The 17,182-nt window shown below is 47.0% G+C and overlaps 1 protein-coding gene across 11 annotated transcripts in view, besides 3 other annotated features; it reads left to right on the plus strand.

The window, feature by feature from the left end:
- Positions 8,736–9,650: an enhancer, noted in NCBI's record as "NANOG-H3K27ac hESC enhancer chr7:6116071-6116985 (GRCh37/hg19 assembly coordinates)". NCBI's record gives its function as "activates a minimal SCP1, AML or CMV promoter by ChIP-STARR-seq in naive H9 embryonic stem cells {active_cell/tissue: H9 hESC(naive)}" and the evidence as "EXISTENCE:reporter gene assay evidence [ECO:0000049][PMID:30033119]".
- Positions 9,651–10,564: an enhancer, noted in NCBI's record as "NANOG-H3K27ac hESC enhancer chr7:6116986-6117899 (GRCh37/hg19 assembly coordinates)". NCBI's record gives its function as "activates a minimal SCP1, AML or CMV promoter by ChIP-STARR-seq in naive H9 embryonic stem cells {active_cell/tissue: H9 hESC(naive)}" and the evidence as "EXISTENCE:reporter gene assay evidence [ECO:0000049][PMID:30033119]".
- Positions 13,501–14,050: a silencer, noted in NCBI's record as "silent region_17934". NCBI's record gives its function as "represses an Ori minimal core promoter by ATAC-STARR-seq in GM12878 lymphoblastoid cells {active_cell/tissue: GM12878}" and the evidence as "EXISTENCE:reporter gene assay evidence [ECO:0000049][PMID:35858748]".
- Positions 13,537–17,182, plus strand: part of USP42 (ubiquitin specific peptidase 42) — an 80,324-nt gene continuing 76,678 nt past the window's right edge. For 6 of the 11 annotated variants that reach the window (XM_047420940.1, XM_047420938.1, XM_024446969.2 and 3 more), the window contains exons 1-2: positions 13,537–13,566; positions 16,725–16,968. The gene's annotated coding sequence lies outside the window, so the exon portion shown is untranslated. Of the gene's footprint in view, positions 13,567–13,966; positions 14,095–16,724; positions 16,969–17,182 lie in introns of those variants that run through there. The other 5 variants (XM_047420935.1, XM_047420936.1, XM_047420937.1 and 2 more) reach the window with 2 other exon arrangements.

Below are 17,182 nucleotides of genomic sequence, written 5' to 3' on the forward strand. Positions count from 1 at the left end.
TGAGCCAAGGAGTTCAAGACCAGCCTGGGCAACATAGTAACACCCCCATCTCTACAAAACAAAATTAAAAAAAAAATTTTTTTTTAATTAGCTGGTTGTTGTGGCATGTACCTGTACTCCTAGCTACTCAGGAGGCTGAGGTGAGAGGATCAGGTGAGTGTGGGAGATGCAGGCTGAAGTGAGGTATGATTAGAGCCACTGCACTGCAGCCTGGGTGACAGAGAGAGCAATTCTCAAACAAATATAGCTTAACATCAGTGGTTGTTAAATTTGATTGTGGAAACATTGGTGTTTATTCACATTATTCTTGGTAACTTTTTATATGTTTGAAATGTTTCAATTTTTTTTTCAAGACAGCAAATATATTAGTCAGGATTCTCTGCAGAAAGAGAACTAGGAGAATAGAATGTGTATATATTTAGAGAAATTTATTTGGCTGGGAGTGGTGGCTCACGCCTGTAATCCCAGCACTATAGGAGGCGAAGGCAGGCAGGTCACTGGAGGCCAGGAGTTCAAGACCAGCCTGGCCAACATAGCAAAACTCCATCTCTACTAAAAATACAAAAAATTAGCTGGGCATGGTGGTGCACGCCTGTAATCCCAGCTACTCAGGCTACTCGGGAGGCTAAGGCAAGAGAATTGCTTGAATCCAGAAGCTGAAGTTTGCAGTAAGCCGAGATTGTGCCACTGCACTCTAGCCTGGGTGACAGAGCAAGACCCTGTCTCAAAAAAAAAAAAAAAAAAAAACAGAAAGGGAGAGAGAAATTTATTTTAAGAAATTAGCTCGGCCGGGCACAGTGGGTCACGCCTATAATCCCAGTACTTTGGGAGGCCAAGGCAGGCAGATCACCCAAGGCTGGGAGTTCAAGACCAGCCTGACCAACATGGAGAAACCCCGTCTCTACTAAAAATACAAAATTAGCCGGGCATGCCTGTAATCCCAGCTACCTGGGAGACTGAGGCAGGAGATCACTTGAACCCGGGAGGAGGAGGTTGAGGTGAGCCGAGATGGTGCCATTGCACTCTAGCCTGGGCAACATGAGTGAAACTCCATGTCAAAAAAAAAAAAAAAAAGGAAAAAGAAAAAGAAAAGAAATTGGCTTATAGGATCATGGAGGCTAAATCCAAAATCTGCAGGGTGGACTGGCAGACTAGAGACCCAGAGAAGGAAGAGTCAGTGTTACAGTTTAAGTCAGAAACTTGTCTGCCGGAAACTTTCTTGCTCAGGGCAGGTCAGTCTTTTTGCCATATCTGAGTTTTCAACTGATTGAATGAAACCTCCAATACTCCACATTATAAAGACAATCTGCTTTACTCAAAGTCTTAGGTCAGGCACAGTGTCTCATGCCTGTAATCCCAGCACTTTGGGAGGCCAAGGCGGCAGATCACCTGAGGTCAGGGGTTCTAGACCAGGCTGGCCAACATGGTGAAACCTTGTCACTACTAAAAATACAAAAATTAGCCAGGCATGGTGTAATCCCAGCTACTTAGGAGGCTGAGGCCAGAGAATCACTTGAACCCTTGCAGTGAGCCAAGATCACGCCACTGCACTCCAGCCTGGGCAACAAGAGGGAGACTCCATCTCAAAAAACAAACAACAAACAAAAAAAAACAGGCCGGGTGCGGTGGCTCATGCCTGTAATCCCAGCACTTCGAGAGTCTAAGGTGGGTGGATCACAAGGTCAGGAGACCGAGACCATCCTGGCCAACATAGTGAAACTCTGTCTCTGCTGAAAATACAAAAATTAGTCGGGCTAGGCCAGGCGTGGTGGCTTACGCCTGTAATCCCACCAGTTTGGGAGGCCGAGGCGGGCGGATCACAACGTCAGGAGATGGAGACCATCCTGGCTAACACAGTGAAACCCCGTCTCTACTAAAAACACAAAAAAATTAGCCGGGCGTGGTGGCGGGTGCCTGTAGTCCCAGCTACTCGGGAGGCTGAGGCAGGAGAATGGTGTGAACCCAGGAGGCGGAGCTTGCAGCGAGTGGAGATCTCGCCACTGCATTCTAGCCTGGGCGACAGAGGGAGACTCGTCTCAAAAAAAAAAAAAAAAAAAATTAGCCAGGCATGGTGGCACTTGCCTGTAATCCCAGCTACTCAGGAGGCTGAGGCAGGAGAATCGCTTGAATCAGGGAGTCAGAGGTTGCAGTGAGCCAAGATCACGCCACAGCACTCTAGCCTGGCTACAGAGCAAGACTCCGTCTAAAAAAAAAAAACAAAAAGAAAGAAAAAGAAAAAGAAAAAAGAAATCAAGTCCACCAATTTAATGTTAATGTGGCCACTGCGCCTGGCCCACATCTAGTTAACTTTTTTAGTTTTCATAGAGACAGGGTGTCACTATGTGGCCCAGGCCCGTCTTGAACTCCTGGGCTTAAACCATCCATCCACCTAGGCCTCCCAAAGTGTTGGGATTACAAGCATGAGCCACCATGCCCCTCCCAGAATAATCTTTGACCAAATATGTGGGCATTGTGGGCCACCCAAGTTGACACATAAAACTAACCATCACAGGCCGGGTGTGGTGGCTCACACCTGTAATCCCAGCACTTTGGGAGGCCAAGGCAGGCGAATCACCTGAGGTCGGGAGTATGAGATCAGCCTGACCAACATGGAGAAACCCCGTCTCTACTGAAAATACAAAATTAGCTGGGCATGGTGGCACATGCCTGTAATCCCAGCGACTTGGGAGGCTGAGGCAGGAGAATCGCTTGAACCCAGGAGGCGGAGGTTGCGGTGAGCCGAGATCATGCCTTTGCACTCCAGCCTGGGCAACAAGAGTGAAACTCTGTCTCAAAAGAAAAAAAAAATAACTTTGGCAAGTTCACCCCTTGTCAACAGCATCCATGCGCATTTTTAATTTTTATTTATTTATTTTGTTTGTTTGTTTTTTGAGACAGAGTCTTGCTCTGTTGGCCAGGCCGGAGTGCAGTGGTGCAATCTCGGCTCACTGCAACCTGCGCCTACCTCCCAGGCTCAAATGATTCTCCTGCTTCAGCCTCCCAAGTAGCTGGAACTACAGTTGTGCACCACCAAGCCCAGATAATTTTTGTATTTTTGGTAGAAACGGGGTTTCACCATTTTGGCCAGGCTGCTCTGGAACTCCTGACCTCAGGTGATCCGCCTGTCTTGGCCTCCCAAAGTGCTGGGATTATAGGTGTGAGCCACTGCACCCAGACTATATGCATCTTTTTCAACCATGATACAACTATCCACTTGACGTGATACAACTATCTCGTATACAATGAAAACCGCACTAATCTCTTTCCCAGAAGAGGATGTAAGTTTCTTGGGTGATGTTTATGCTTCTCCTTGGTATCTCATAACTTAAATAGTATGCTATAAGGTTAACAATATTGAAATACTATGATATAAAGTCAATATATCTTTTGTTACATAAGAGGATAAGTGGGGAATGAAAACAAAGACATTTGTGATACACACACACACACACACACATCCATCACAAAACAAAAAGAAACATCAACGGCAATTGCAGCTCTCGGTTCTGCAACTGGTGATGGGTCGTAGCTGGTGTTTATAACCATCTTCTTCCACCACACATTCCGTATTCCCGTTCTCCTCAACAAACACCTCAGCTGGCCATGGGTCACCTGGTGTGGCGAACCAAACCTCCTTTCCTGGGCCATTCATAGTCCTGCCAAGATTGGGTTGTTGCAGTTTTCCATTGACTCTAATCATAGGGCATTCTGATACTAAGAGATACCCTAAGCGCTCTCCTGTATTTCAGACATACCCTTTCCTAGCTCCATTGTGGAGTAGCAGTCCAATTTCTCTTTGGTAGTCAGGATTAATCACCCAAGTCAGCCCAGTAACGTCTTTCTTTGCCTGTTGATTCAGAGGCAAGAGGAACTGAAAGTGGCCAGGTGGCACTGAAAAGTCAGTTCAATGAAATCACTGTTGTCAGTCCATTTTCTGTTGCTTATGACAGAATACCTGAAACTGGGTAATTTATAAAGAAAGAAATTATTTCTTGCAGTTATGGGGGCTGAAAAGTCCAAGGTCAAAGGGCTGCATCTGGTGAGGCCCTTCTTTCTGATAGGACTCTGCAAAGTCCCGAGGTGGTGTAGGACATCACATGGCCAGGGGGCTCAGCATGCTAGCTCACACCTCTCCTCCTTTTATTTATACAGCTTTATAGCCACCAATCCCATTCCCATGATAACTCCTTAATCCATTAACCCATTAATTAATTATTATTATTATTATTTTAAGATGGAGTTTCACTCTTGTTGCCCAGACTGGAGTGCAATGGCGCGATCTCGGCTGACGGCAATCTCTGCCTCCCCAGTTCAAGTGATTCTCCTGCCTCAGCCTCCCAAGTAGCTGGGATTACAGGCATGTGCCACGAAGCCTGGCTAATTTTGTATTTTTAGTAGAGACGGGGTTTCTCCATGTTGATCAGGCTCCTCCTGAACTCCCAACCTCGGGAGATCTGCCCACCTTGGCCTTCCAAAGTGCTGGGATTACAGACATAAGTCACTGCACCCGGCCCTAACCCATTAATTTATTAATCCAAGGACAGATTAATTCATTCATAAGGGCAGAGCCCTCATGACTGAATCACCTTCTTTTTTTTTTTTTTTTGAGACGGAGTCTTGCTCTGTCGCCCAGGCTGGAGTACAGTGGCATGGTCTCAGCTCACTGCAAGCTCCGCCTCCAGGGTTCACGCCATTCTCCTGCCTCAGCCTCCCAAGTAGCTGGGACTACAGGCGCCTATCACTACGCCCAGCTAATTTTTTGTATTTTTAGTACAGATGGGGTTTCACCGTGTTAGCCAGGATGGTCTCGATCTCCTGACCTCGTGATCCACCTGCCTCAGCCTCCCAAAGTGCTGGGACTACAGGCATGAGCCACCGCACCTGGCCATGACTCTATCAACTCTTAAAGGCCCCACCTCTAAATACTGCCACATTGGGGATTAAATTTCAACTTGTGTTTTGGAGGGGACAAATAGTCAAACCATAGCATGTCTCCTGGTGGAGGCATTGCTCTCTTTGGAACTAAGACCTCTAGGCTAGCAGAGCATAAGGTTATGGGAACAGGAAGGAAAGATTTAACTAGTGAGCCGTGTGCAGTGGTTCACGCTCAAAGTGTAATCCCAGCACTTTGAGAGGCTAAGGCGGACAGATCACCTGAGGTCAGGAGTTTGAGACCAGCCTGGCCAGCATGGTGAAACCCCATCTCTACTAAAAATACAAAAATTAGCTGGGCGTGGTGGCACACGCCTGTAGTCCCAGCTGCTAGGGAGGCTGAGGCAGGAGAATTGCTTGAACCCGGAAGGCGGAGGTTGCAGTGAGCTGAGACTGTGCCACTATACTCCAGCCTGGGCAACAGAGTGAGACTCCGTCTCAAAAAAAAAAAAAAAAAAAAAAAAGATTTGGCCAGTGGGTCACTAGGGGTAATACTAAGCGGTGCCATTCTCATTTCTAACACTTGATTCCTGGACCCATGCAGAAAGAAAGTGCAAGGGCCCTGGGGTAGAAATGAGCTTAGTGTGTTTCAAAGAAAGAGGACAAGAGTGAACAAAGAAGGCAGGAGTAGGCCAGACACGGTGGCTCACACCTGTAATCCCAGCACTTTGGGAGGCCGAGGCAGGCGGATCACCAGGTCAGGAGATCAAGACCATCCTGGCTAACACAGTGAAACCCCGTCTCTACTAAAAAAAAAAATACAAAAAATTAGCCTGGTGTGGTGGTGGACGCCTGTAGTCCCTGCTATTCAGGAGGATGAGGCAGGAGAATGGCAGGAACGCAGGAGGCAGAGCTTGCAGTGAGCTGAGATCGTGCCACTGCACTCCAGCCTGAGAAATAGGGCAAGACTCCATCTCAAAAAAAAAAAAAGAAGGCACGAGTAGAAGCAGGAGATCAGCCTTGCAGTGAGTCAGTCTTTCAAACGCACTAACAGCAAAGTACAGACTCCTTCCCTATGGCCTATAATTTCCATAAATACCTGTTTGTGGCTGGGCGCGGTGGCTCATGCCTGTAATTCCACCACTTTGGGAGGCCGAGGCAGGCGTATCACCTGAGGTCGGGAGTTCCAGATCAGCTGACCAACGTGGAGAAACCCCTTCTCTACTAAAAATACAAAAAATTAGCCAAGCGTGGTGGCACATGCCTGTAATCCCAGCTACTCAGGAGGCTGAGGCAGAAGAATTGCTTGAAACAGGGAGGCGGAGGTTGCAGTGAGCTGAGATAGCGCCATTGCACTCTAACCGGGGCAACAAGAGCAAAACTACGTCTCAAAACAAAACAAAACAAAACAAAACACAACAACAAAAAGAACCTGCTTGTTGATTCATCCAATTAAAATAGTATCTTTTAACTCCCTGTTACATAGATAAGAAATGTTATGGCCAGGTGTGGTGGCTCATGCCTGTAATCCCAGCACTTTGGGAGGCCAAGGCGGGTGGATCACCTGAGGTCATGAGTTCGAGACCATCCTGGCTAACACAGTGAAACCCCTTCTCTACTAAAAATACAAAAAATTAGCCGGGCGTGGTGGTGGGCGCCTGTAGTCCCAGCTGCTCAGGAGGCTGAGGCAGGAGAATGGTGTGAACCTGGGAGGCGGAGGTTGCAGTGAGCCGAGATCGCACCACTGCACTCCAGCCTGGGTGACAGAGCGAGACTCCGTCTCAAAAAAAAAAAAAATTCACAAGTAAAGAGACAGCTTTCAAGAGCTGTCACAGTGGTCTATGGGATCACACTGATGAATGGACAGAAAAGTAAGATGTAAGATTCATTACTTAAGCATTCATGACGGAGTGCTAGGGAGGGGGGCTTGTTCTTGAGGTCACAGCCTCTGCAGCAGGGACAGAGAGTCACCCAGAAGGACAGAAATCTAAGTGACTGATTGAATCATTGTTGGCCTGGCTGCATGGATGGCCCTTACCCATCTTCTTCACCTATGTCATATCTACCATGTATCTTTTCCCTCATGATGAAGCAAAGACAAACTCTCTAAAGCAGTGTAGGTGTGTGTCTGTGTATATCTACGTCTATATATGTATCTTACCTGTGTGTATATCTACTTTTATATATGTATCTTGCCTGTGTGTATGTCTGTGTGTGTCTGTGTCTGTGTGTTTATGCACAAATTGCTTGCCCACTCTGTTCCCTACCACCCTCATCACCAAACCCCCTAATTCGAGATCTTCCCCACAATATCCACATGGACTTGCAAGTCAGTTCTGTCAATTAGGAGAGAGGTCACTAATGTCAAAGGAAACCCCCAATTAGCTACCTTTCTTAATCATCAGGATTTCAAGAATACTTAATTATGGTTACTCAATAGAAGGTAAGTGCTGTAAACCATAATAGTATAAAATTAATGGTCTATCTATTCATGTTTGGAAGTAATAAAAAGAAATAAACATTTATTTTCTTTTTTTTTTTTTGACAGAGTCTTGCTCTGTCACCCAGACTGGGGTGCAATGGCGCAATCTTGGCTCACTACTGCAACCTCCGCCTCCTGGGTTTATGCAATTCTCCTGCCTCAGCCTCTCAAGTAGCTGGGATTACAGACGTGCTCCACCATGCCGAGATAATTTTTGTATTTTTAGTAGAGACGGGATTTCACCACGTTGGTCAGGCTGGTCTCGAACTCCTGACCTCAAGTGATCCACCCACTCTGGCCTCCCAAAGTACTGCTGGGATTCCAGGTGTGAGCCACCGCTCCCGGCCAACATTACTTTTTCTTCTTTTTTCTTTCTTTTTTATTTTTTTTTAGACATAGTCTTGCTCTGTCTTGCCCAGGCTGGAGTGCAATAGTGCGACCTCGGCTCACTGCAGCCTCTGCCTCCCAGGTTCAAGTGATTCTCCTGTCTCAGCCACACAAGTACCTGGGATTACAGGCGTGTGCCACCATGCCCGGCTAATTTTAAATTTTTAGTAGAGATGGGGTTTCACCATGTTGGCCAAGCTGGTCTTGAACTCCTGACCTCAGATGATCCACCTGCCTCGGCTTCCCAAAGTGCTGGGATTGCAGGTGTGAGCCACCGCGCCCAGCCAACATTTCTTATCTATATAGCAGAGAGTTAAAAGATACTGCTTCAGTTGGATGGATCAATAAACAGATAGCTACAGAAATCATATAAGGTAACTAATAACGTGTTTGGATATAGCTGTAGTTGTATATATTTTATCATCTTCAACTGATGTTAAGGAAATTGTAGGCCGGGCGCAGTGGCTCACGCCTGTAATCCCAGCACTTTGGGAGGCCGAGGTGGGCAGATCACGAGGTCAGGAGATTGAGACCCTCCTGGTTAACAAGGTGAAACCCTGTCTCTACTAAAAAATACAAAAATTAGCCGGGCGTGGTGGCAGGCGCCTGTAGTCCCAGCTACTCGGGAGGGTGAGGCCGGAGAATGGCGTGAACCCCGGAGGCGGAGCTTGCAGTGAGCCGAGATCGCGCCACTGCACTCCAGTCTGGGCAACAGAGCGAGATTCTGTCTCAAAAAAAAAAAAGAAAAGAAAAAGAAAAAAAGAAAGAAGGAAATTGTACATGTATACATGTATAGCACCAGGGCCTAATGTTTTCTTTTCTATTTTTTTTTGTTTGTTTGTTTTGAGACAGAGTCCTGCATTGTTGCCTGGGCTGGAGTGCAATGGCACTATCCACGATCTCGGCTCACTGCAACCTCTGCCTCCCGGGTTCAAGCGATTCTCCTGCCTCAGCCTCCTGAGTAGCTGGGATTACAGGCGCCTGCCACCATGCCTGCCTAATTTTTTGTATTTTTAGTAGAGATGGGGTTTCACTATATTGGCCAGGCTGGTCTCGAACTCCTGACCTCATGATCCGCCTGCCCCAGCCTCCTAAAGTGCTGGGATTACAGGTCAGCAACCACACACGGCCTTTTTTTTTTTTTTTTTTTGAGAAGGAGTCTCACTCTGTCACCCAGGCTAGAGTGCAGTGGCGCGATCTCGGCTCACTGCAAGCTCCACCTCCCGGGTTCAAGCCATTCTCCTGCTTCAGCCTCCCAAGTAGCTGGTACTACAGGCGCCCGCCACCACGCCCGTCTAATTTTTTGTATTTTTAGTAGAGACGGGGTTTCACCGTGTTAGCCAGGATGGTCTCCATCTCCTGACCTCATGATCCGCCCGCCTTGGTCTCTCAAAGTGCTGGGATTACAGGCATGGGCCACTGTGCCCAGCAATTTTTTTTTTTTCTTGATACAGAGTCTTGCTCTGTTGCCCAGGCTGGAGTGCAGTGGAGCGATCTTAGCTCACTGCAACCTCTGGCTCCCAGGTTCAAACAATTCTCCTGCCTCAGCCTCCTGAGTAGCTAAGATTACAGGCACATGCCACCACGCCCAGCTAATTTTTGTATTTTTAGTAGAGACGGAGTTTCACCATATTGGTCCGGCTGGTCTTGAACTCCTGATCTTGTGATCTGCCCACCTCAGCCTCCCAAAGTGCTGGGATTACAGGCGTGATGAGCCACCGTGCCGGGCCACCAGGGCCTAATCTTGTTTGTGTAGTGTCTCTAATTCCTTCATTTTGACCACAGCTCTTACGCACCCTGTATATAGTAATTATCCATGAGAGGGAGAGTTTGGGAAATGATACCCTTGTCAAGTTCCCTCTTACATTGTACTAAGGTTGGTCTGTGTGATGATTCATGTACGGAGAATTGATGGTATGTAACTTCTCAGAGAAGTTCAAAAGACACTGTGGCTTTCATCTTACTCTCTCCCTCTTTCATCTGTTGCCCTGGGGTGAGGAAGCCATGCTGTGAGTAGCCCTAGCCAGCCCTCACTGTGGGAAAGTGAGCCTGCCAAGAAGAAAGTGAGTTTGGAAAAGATTCTTCATCCCCAGTAGGCCCTTGAAATGTCCTGTAAACTCAAGAGTCCGAACTGGCCAGGAGCAGTGGCTCACGCCTGTAGTCCCAGCACTTCGGGAGGCCAAGGCAGGCAGATCACTGTAGGTCAGGAGTTCCAGACCAGCCTGGCCAATAGGGTGAAACTCCGTCTGTACTAAAAATGCAATTTTTTTTGCTCTTACTGCCCAGGCTAGAGTGCAGTGGTGCAATCTCATCTCACTGCAACCTCCACCTTCCGGTTTCAAGCGATTCTCCTGCCTCAGCCAACCAAGTTGCTGGGATTACAGGTGCCTGCCACCACACCTAGCTAATTTTTTTGTACTTTTAGTAGAGACAGGGTTTTACCATGTTGGTCAGGCTGGTCTCGAACTGCTGACCTCATGATCCACCCACCTCAGCCTCCCAAAGTGGGCGTGAGCCACCGGGCCTGGCCCTTAAAAATACAAAAATTAGCCAGGCACGGTGGCACACGCCTGTAATCCCAGCTACTTGGGAGGCTGAGGCAGGAGAATTGCTTGAACCTGGGAGGCAGAGGTTGCAGTGAGCCGAGATCGTGCCATTGCACTCCAGCCTGGGCAACAAAAGCAAAACTCTGTTTCAAAAAAAATAAAAAATAAAAAAAAATAAGCCAGAACCATTAAGCCACCCTGCTCTGATCCGTGACCTTCAGAAACTGTGGGAGAAATGTTTCTGGGTAGTTAATTTGTTACATTGCAATAATTAATACATGTTAAACTCTATTTGAAGCATCTTATTGTGGTAAGAAATAGCCTAAGCCATCCGGGCACGATGGCTTACACCTGTAATCCCAGCACTTTGGGAGGCTGAGGCGGGCAGATCATTAGGTCAGGAGATCGAGACCATCCTGGCTAACACGGTGAAACCCTGTCTCTACTTAAAATACAAAAAATTAGCCGGGCATGGTGGCGGGTGCCTGTAGTCCCAGCTACTCCGGAGGCTGAGGCAGGAGAATGGCATGAACCCAGGAGGCAGAGCTTGCAGTGAGCCAAGATCGTGCCACTGCACTCCAGCCTGGGAGACAGAGCAAGACTCCATCTCAAAAAAAAAAAAAAAAAATAGCTTAAGCCAAGGCCTTGTGAAAATTGTTGATCTGGCTGGCTACCAAGCAACAGTTGTGATGTCATCAGGATTTGAACCCTCAATTAACAGGGTCTTGCCAACTGTCTGATGGTAAGTCCCAGATACGAAGGCACTTGTCAGGTGAGCACAACTACTTCTGCTTTCTTCTTTACTTCTCCAAATAGGGTGAATAACTAAGAGATTCCCAAGCCAAATTTGGCTCTTGGTATTCCTTAGGTCAACTAACATATTTTAAATGTCAGTTTCTAGTAGATCCTGTCAATTAAGAGCGAATTGCCCTCATTTCAATCCCTGGGCATATCCCTTTTGGTTTTAAAGCCTCCACCCCAGTGTAATGTACAAAATAGATGTTACTAAGGGTTTTTTGTTTGTAACAATTTTTATATAGGGTCACAAAATTGTCAGGTATAAGATGTAGGCATATCTTGAATTTTATTAAAGTGAAACACTTTACAGTAATCAACATTGAATACATTTATAAAATATTTCAACTGAAAATATCAGGAGCCATATTTTAAAAAGTACTTAGTATTGGCCAAGCACGGGGGCTCATACCTGTAATCCCAGAACTTTGGGAGGCCAAGGCGGGCGGATCACAAGGTCAGGAGATCGAGACCACCCTGGCTAACACGGTGAAACCCCATCTCTACTAAAAATACAAAAAATTAGCCCGGCGGGGTGGCACGTGCCTGTAATCCCAGCTACGCTGGAGGCTGAGGCAGGAGAATCGCTTGAACCCCGGAGGCGGAGCTTGCAGTGAGCCGAGATTGGGCCACTGCACTCTAGCCTGGGCGACAGAGCCAGACTCTGTCTCAAAAATAAATAAATAAATAAATAAATAAATAGTACTTAGTATTATTGAGTGCCTCTAATTCTTCATTAAATATGAGCTATGTAACATAGATATAGAGCAGTTTTAGCTAACATTGTTTGTTATTAAGCTGCCTTGGACTAAATTATGAAATACTGCACTGTTTTAAAGTACTGTAAAAATTCTTTTGGAATTCCCTGAATGTGCTTTATGTTTATGCTCTTATTCTCATAACCCTCAAATCCTCACCCCCTAATGGTAGATTTTATTTCTACAATTATTCAAAAGCCATTATACCAGAGTAGGTGCTCAAATTATACAAAACGTCATTCTTTTTTTTTTTTTTGAGACACCATGCTTGGTGAAATTTGTCATTCTTACTCAAGTTTTAAAGATAATTTTTATTATGTAGAGAAGATACAGTATGTATATATACATTTTTCTGACCACATTTCACCCCCCTACGCCCCCCAAAAAAAACTTCATAGGCCAGGCGCGGTGGCTCATGCCTGTAATCCCAGCACTTTGGGAGGCCAAGGCGGGTGGATCACGAGGTCAAGAGATCGAGACCATCCTGGCCAACATGGTGAAACCCCGTCTCTACTAAATGTACAAAAAATTAGCCAGGCCTGGTGGCGGACGCCTGTAGTCCCAGCTACTCGGGAGGCTGAGCCAGGAGAATGGCATGAATCCGGGAGGCAGAGCTTGCAGTGAGCCAAGATCGCGCCACTGCACTCCAGCCTGGGCGAGAGAGCGAGACTCCGTCTCAAAAAAAAAAAAAAAAAAAAAAAAAACTTCATGAATAGGATAAAGTTTCCCTCCCCTATTGACTGTTGGCAGTTTAGCGTATGTTATTAATACTGCAGGTCTTTTTATAGTAATGTGTATACATCTTTTTCTATTCATTTACATAAGCATATACCACAAAAAAACAGTATTGTTTTAAGGGGTTTTTGTGTAAAAGAATTACTTAAAAAAAAAAAAAAAAGAATTACTGGCTGGGCGCGGTGGCTCACGCCTGTAATCCCAGCACTTTGGGAGTGAGGCCAAGGTGGGTGGATCATTTGAGGTCAGCAGTTGGAGACCAGTCTGGCCAACATAGTGAAACCGCGTCTCTACTAAAAATACAAAAATTTGCCAGGAGCCTGAGGCAGGACAATCGCTTGAACCCGGGAGGTGCAGATTGCAGAGAGCCGAGATCGCGCCACTGCACTCCAGCCTGGGCGACAGAGTGAGTCTCTGTCTCAAAAAAAAAAAAAAAAAGTACTCATATCTCTTTTTCTGTAACTTTTAAAATCCACTCCCAAATACGTCTTGGGGGAACTTCCTATGTCAGTATAGCATGGTAGTCCATAACTGGATTCTTCAATAACAGTAAATCTAGCTATTTCCCCCAGCGGAATGGGAATTGTGTCCAACATTTCAAACATCTGGAAAAGTATCATCTATACGCAGTGTAATGTTTACAGCGAATTCTGCCACTGCTCGCTGATTTTAAACACATTACCCTGTGTCTCAGTTTTTTATTTGTAAATGATATTTTACCACCTAATTTACAGGGCTGTAGTGAGGATTACATCGATTGACATATTTATGGCAAGCTCTCAGAGAGTCTTGTACCTAATACCATTATTTGCTCTGATCCTTTAGTTTAGGCTCCTAGGAGACTTGATTCTGGCTGACGTGCTGCGACTGTCATCTTTCAGATCAGAGTAACTCTGAGTCTGGTGGGAGTGTCTTCCCCCGACACCCCGTATACCTCCGCTTTAAGATGAGAGAATCTTCTGTCGGTGCTAGCGTTCAGCGGCTAACGGAGGTGAGCTGGACACACGTTCCCCAACACCCTCCTCCTGGCCCGCGACCTAGATCCCCACCGGTCCCCACCATCATACCGGGGGCCGGGCCGCCGCGGGGAGGTAGATGGCGGGCGGCGCAGCCACAGCCCCGGCCCCGCCGCCTTCCACTTTGCGCTCGCGGGCCCCAGAACTCGTCCGCCGGACAGCCAATCGCGCCTCGCTCCTTGCCCACAGCCATTGCCGTCCACCCCGGAAGTAGCCCTTCTCCAGACGTAAGACCCGCCCCACCCACGCGCGCGCCGCAGTTTGGGGGCGGAGCCCGCCGCAGACCCCGCCCCTTCTCCTTTCCGACTGGGCAGGCGGGGCAGGAGGGGCGGCTACCACGCGGGAGCACCCATGGCGCATGCTCTCTGGTGGGCTAGTCTTCGGACGGCGGCCTGCGGAGGTCGGGTGAGAGGGTGATCGCGCTGCTGAAAGCCGACTGCGCCTACGTGGACTGCGGGTTCGCTCCGGGCCGCTCCTCCCTGCTGTTCACGAGGAAACCTAAAGTCTGTGTTGACCCATGAAACCTGATCTCGTTCTTTCTCCCCTCCTGAGAGTTTACCAGCTGAGTTTCCTGACTTTTATATTCGTTAACACTAACATATATAGAAATATAAATAAAATACAGTATACCTGTATATGCAAGTTGCAGAACAACACATAAAATAACATATTCTGTGAGACAATAAAAATATAAGTTCCAAATAATAGGTATTTTCTGCGGGGACTTGTCTGTATTACATATATATGTATGTATACATATTTGTATGTGTAAATATACTATATATACATATACGTGTATGTATGCAGAAAATATATATTTATGGGTGCGAATTTATCCTTTTTTTTTTTTTGAGATAGAGTCTCGCTTTGTCGCCCAGGCTGGAGTGCAGTGGCGCGATCTCGGCTCACTGCAAGCTCGGCCTCCCGGGTTCACGCCATTCTCCTGCCTCAGCCTCCCGAGTAGCTGGGACTACAGGTGCCCGCCACCAGGCCCGGCTAATTTTTTGTATTTTTAGTAGAGACGGGGTTTCACTGTGTTAGCCAGGATGGTCTCGATCTCCTGACCTCGTGATCCGCCTGCCTTGGCCTCCCGAAGTGCTGGGATTACAGGCGTGAGCCACCGCGCCCGGCCCGGGTGGGTATTTATCCACCTAAACATATAAAATATATTTTTAGGCTGGGTGTAGTGGCTCACACTTGTAATCTCAGCAGTTCAGGAGGCAAAGGCGGGAGAATGGCTTGAATCCAAGAGTTCAAGACCAGCCAGGGCAACATAAGGAGACTGCGTCTCTATTTTCTTTCTTTCTGTTTTTTTTTTTTTTTTTTTTTTTTTGAGACACTGTCTCCCTCTGTCACCCAGGCTGGAGTGCAGTGGCATGATCTTGGCTCACTGCAACATCTGCCTCCCAGGTTCAAGCAATTCTCCTATCTGAGCCTCCGTAGTAGCTGGGACCACAGGTGCACACCGCTACACCTGGCTAATGTTTTGTATTTGAGTAGACATGCAGTTTCACTGTGTTGCCCAGGCTGGTTGCGAACTCCTGAGCTCAGGCAGTCTACCTGCCTTGGCCTCCCAAAGTGCTGGGATTACAGGTGTGAGCCACTGCGCCTGTGTCTCTATTAAATTAAATATATATAGATACATATATATATATATTTATTTATTTTAATTTTATTTTATTTTGAGATGGAGTCTCGGCTCACTGCAACCTCTGCCTCCTGGGTTCAAGCTGATTGTCCTGCCTCAGCCTCCCGTGTAGATGGAATTACAGGTGCGGGCTACCACACCTGGCTGATTTTTGTATTTTTAGTAGAGGTGGGGTTTCACCATGTTGGTCAGGCTGGTCTCGAACTCCTGACCTCAGGTGATCCACCCACCTTGGCCTCCCAAAGGGCTGGGGTTACAGGCGTGAGCCACCGCACCCAGCTTATTTATTTATTTATTTATTTATTTATTTATTTATTTATTTATTTATTTTAGATACAGTCTAGCGCTGTGGCCCAGGCTGGAGTGCAGTGGTGCTATCTTGGCTCACTGCAACCTCTGCCTCCCAGGTTCAAGCAATTCTCCTGCCTCAGCCTCTCAAGTAGCTGGAATTACAGGCACTTGCCACCATGCCCAGCTAATTTTTGTATTTTTAGTAAAGATGGGGTTTTGCCATGTCAACCAGGCTGGTCTCAAACTCCTGACCTCAAGTAATCTGCCCGCCTCGGCCTCCCAAAGTGCTGGGATTACAGCCAGGAGCCACCACACCTAGCCTTAAATACATATATATGTATGTATACATATATATACACACACATATATATACCCAGAAACCGCAATAAATATATGTAACACCAGAATATATAAGTATATAGTATATTGAGATATGTATATATACACACACACACACATGCCCCCACAGGAAATACATAGTATTATGTGGCGTTTATGTTTTTATTGTCTTCCAGTACGTTGTTTTAGGAACTCTCCATCTTAGGGCATGTAAATTCCTCTTTTTTTCCCCTTCCTTACTCAATCTGCATATTCAGAGCTGTTCGGGGAGAAGTTAGAAACCAAGGGGACATATTCTGGGGTCTCTAGCAAGGATAGATTTGTACTGATCCCTAACCTAGTTAACCTCCTGCCCCTTTTTTCTAACCTTAAAGTGATTAAGGGTACCTAACTCCCAAGCTGGTTGTGTAGGTCGTCCGTGAGTTAAGGTATATACATCACACGAAGAGGGTTTTTGTTTTGTTTTGTTTTGAGACAGAGTCTCGCTCTGTCACCCAGGCTGGAGTGCAGTGGCTCAATCTCGGCTCACTGCAACCTCCGCCTCTCGGGTTCAAGTGATTCTCCTGCCTCAGCCTCCTGAGTAGCTGGGACTACAGGCATGAGCCACCACGCCCAGCTAATTTTTGTATTTTTAGTAGAGACAGGGTTTCACCATGTTGACCAGGCTGGTCTTGAACTCTTGACCTCAGGAGATCTGCCCACCTTGGCCTCCCAAAGTGCTGGGATTACAGGTGTGAGCCACCACACCCAGCCCTGAAGAGGGTTTTGATCTATTGTAGGTTTCCAGTAACTTTTAGTCCTTGTTGGTATCAATATTTTGTCTTGCTAACGCTGATGTTTTCATTTTTGCCCTAGGAGGCTTGACTCAACCTGCCGGACACTAAAGGACATCACTCTGAGCCTGAGGGAGGGGCTCTCCTTTGGTCTCCCTCTTTTGTCCAGCCTTGCCCCAGGATATTTTTCTAAGCTGAGTTAGCCACTAGGCACTCCACATCGCTGCCCGCATCACCACGCTGCGGCATCTGCTGTTGCATCTGCGATCCACAAGGCCTACACCATTCGCCATCGCACCTGGCTGTTTGTTGCAGATATTTCTCAGGTCTCTTTTACGCCCTGCTACACTCCTCACCTGATATCGCAAGGACTCTTTTTTTTTTTTTTTTGAGACGGAGTCTCACTCTGTCACCCAGCCTGGAGTGCAGTGGCAGAATTTCAGCTCACTGCAACCTCCACCTCCCGGGTTCAAGTGAGTCTCCTGCCTCAGCCTTCTGAGTATCTGGAACTACAGGTGTGTGCCATCATGCCTGGCTAAT

Source organism: Homo sapiens, chromosome 7 (genome assembly GCF_000001405.40).
Source record: "Homo sapiens chromosome 7, GRCh38.p14 Primary Assembly".
Classification (NCBI taxonomy): domain Eukaryota; kingdom Metazoa; phylum Chordata; class Mammalia; order Primates; family Hominidae; genus Homo; species Homo sapiens.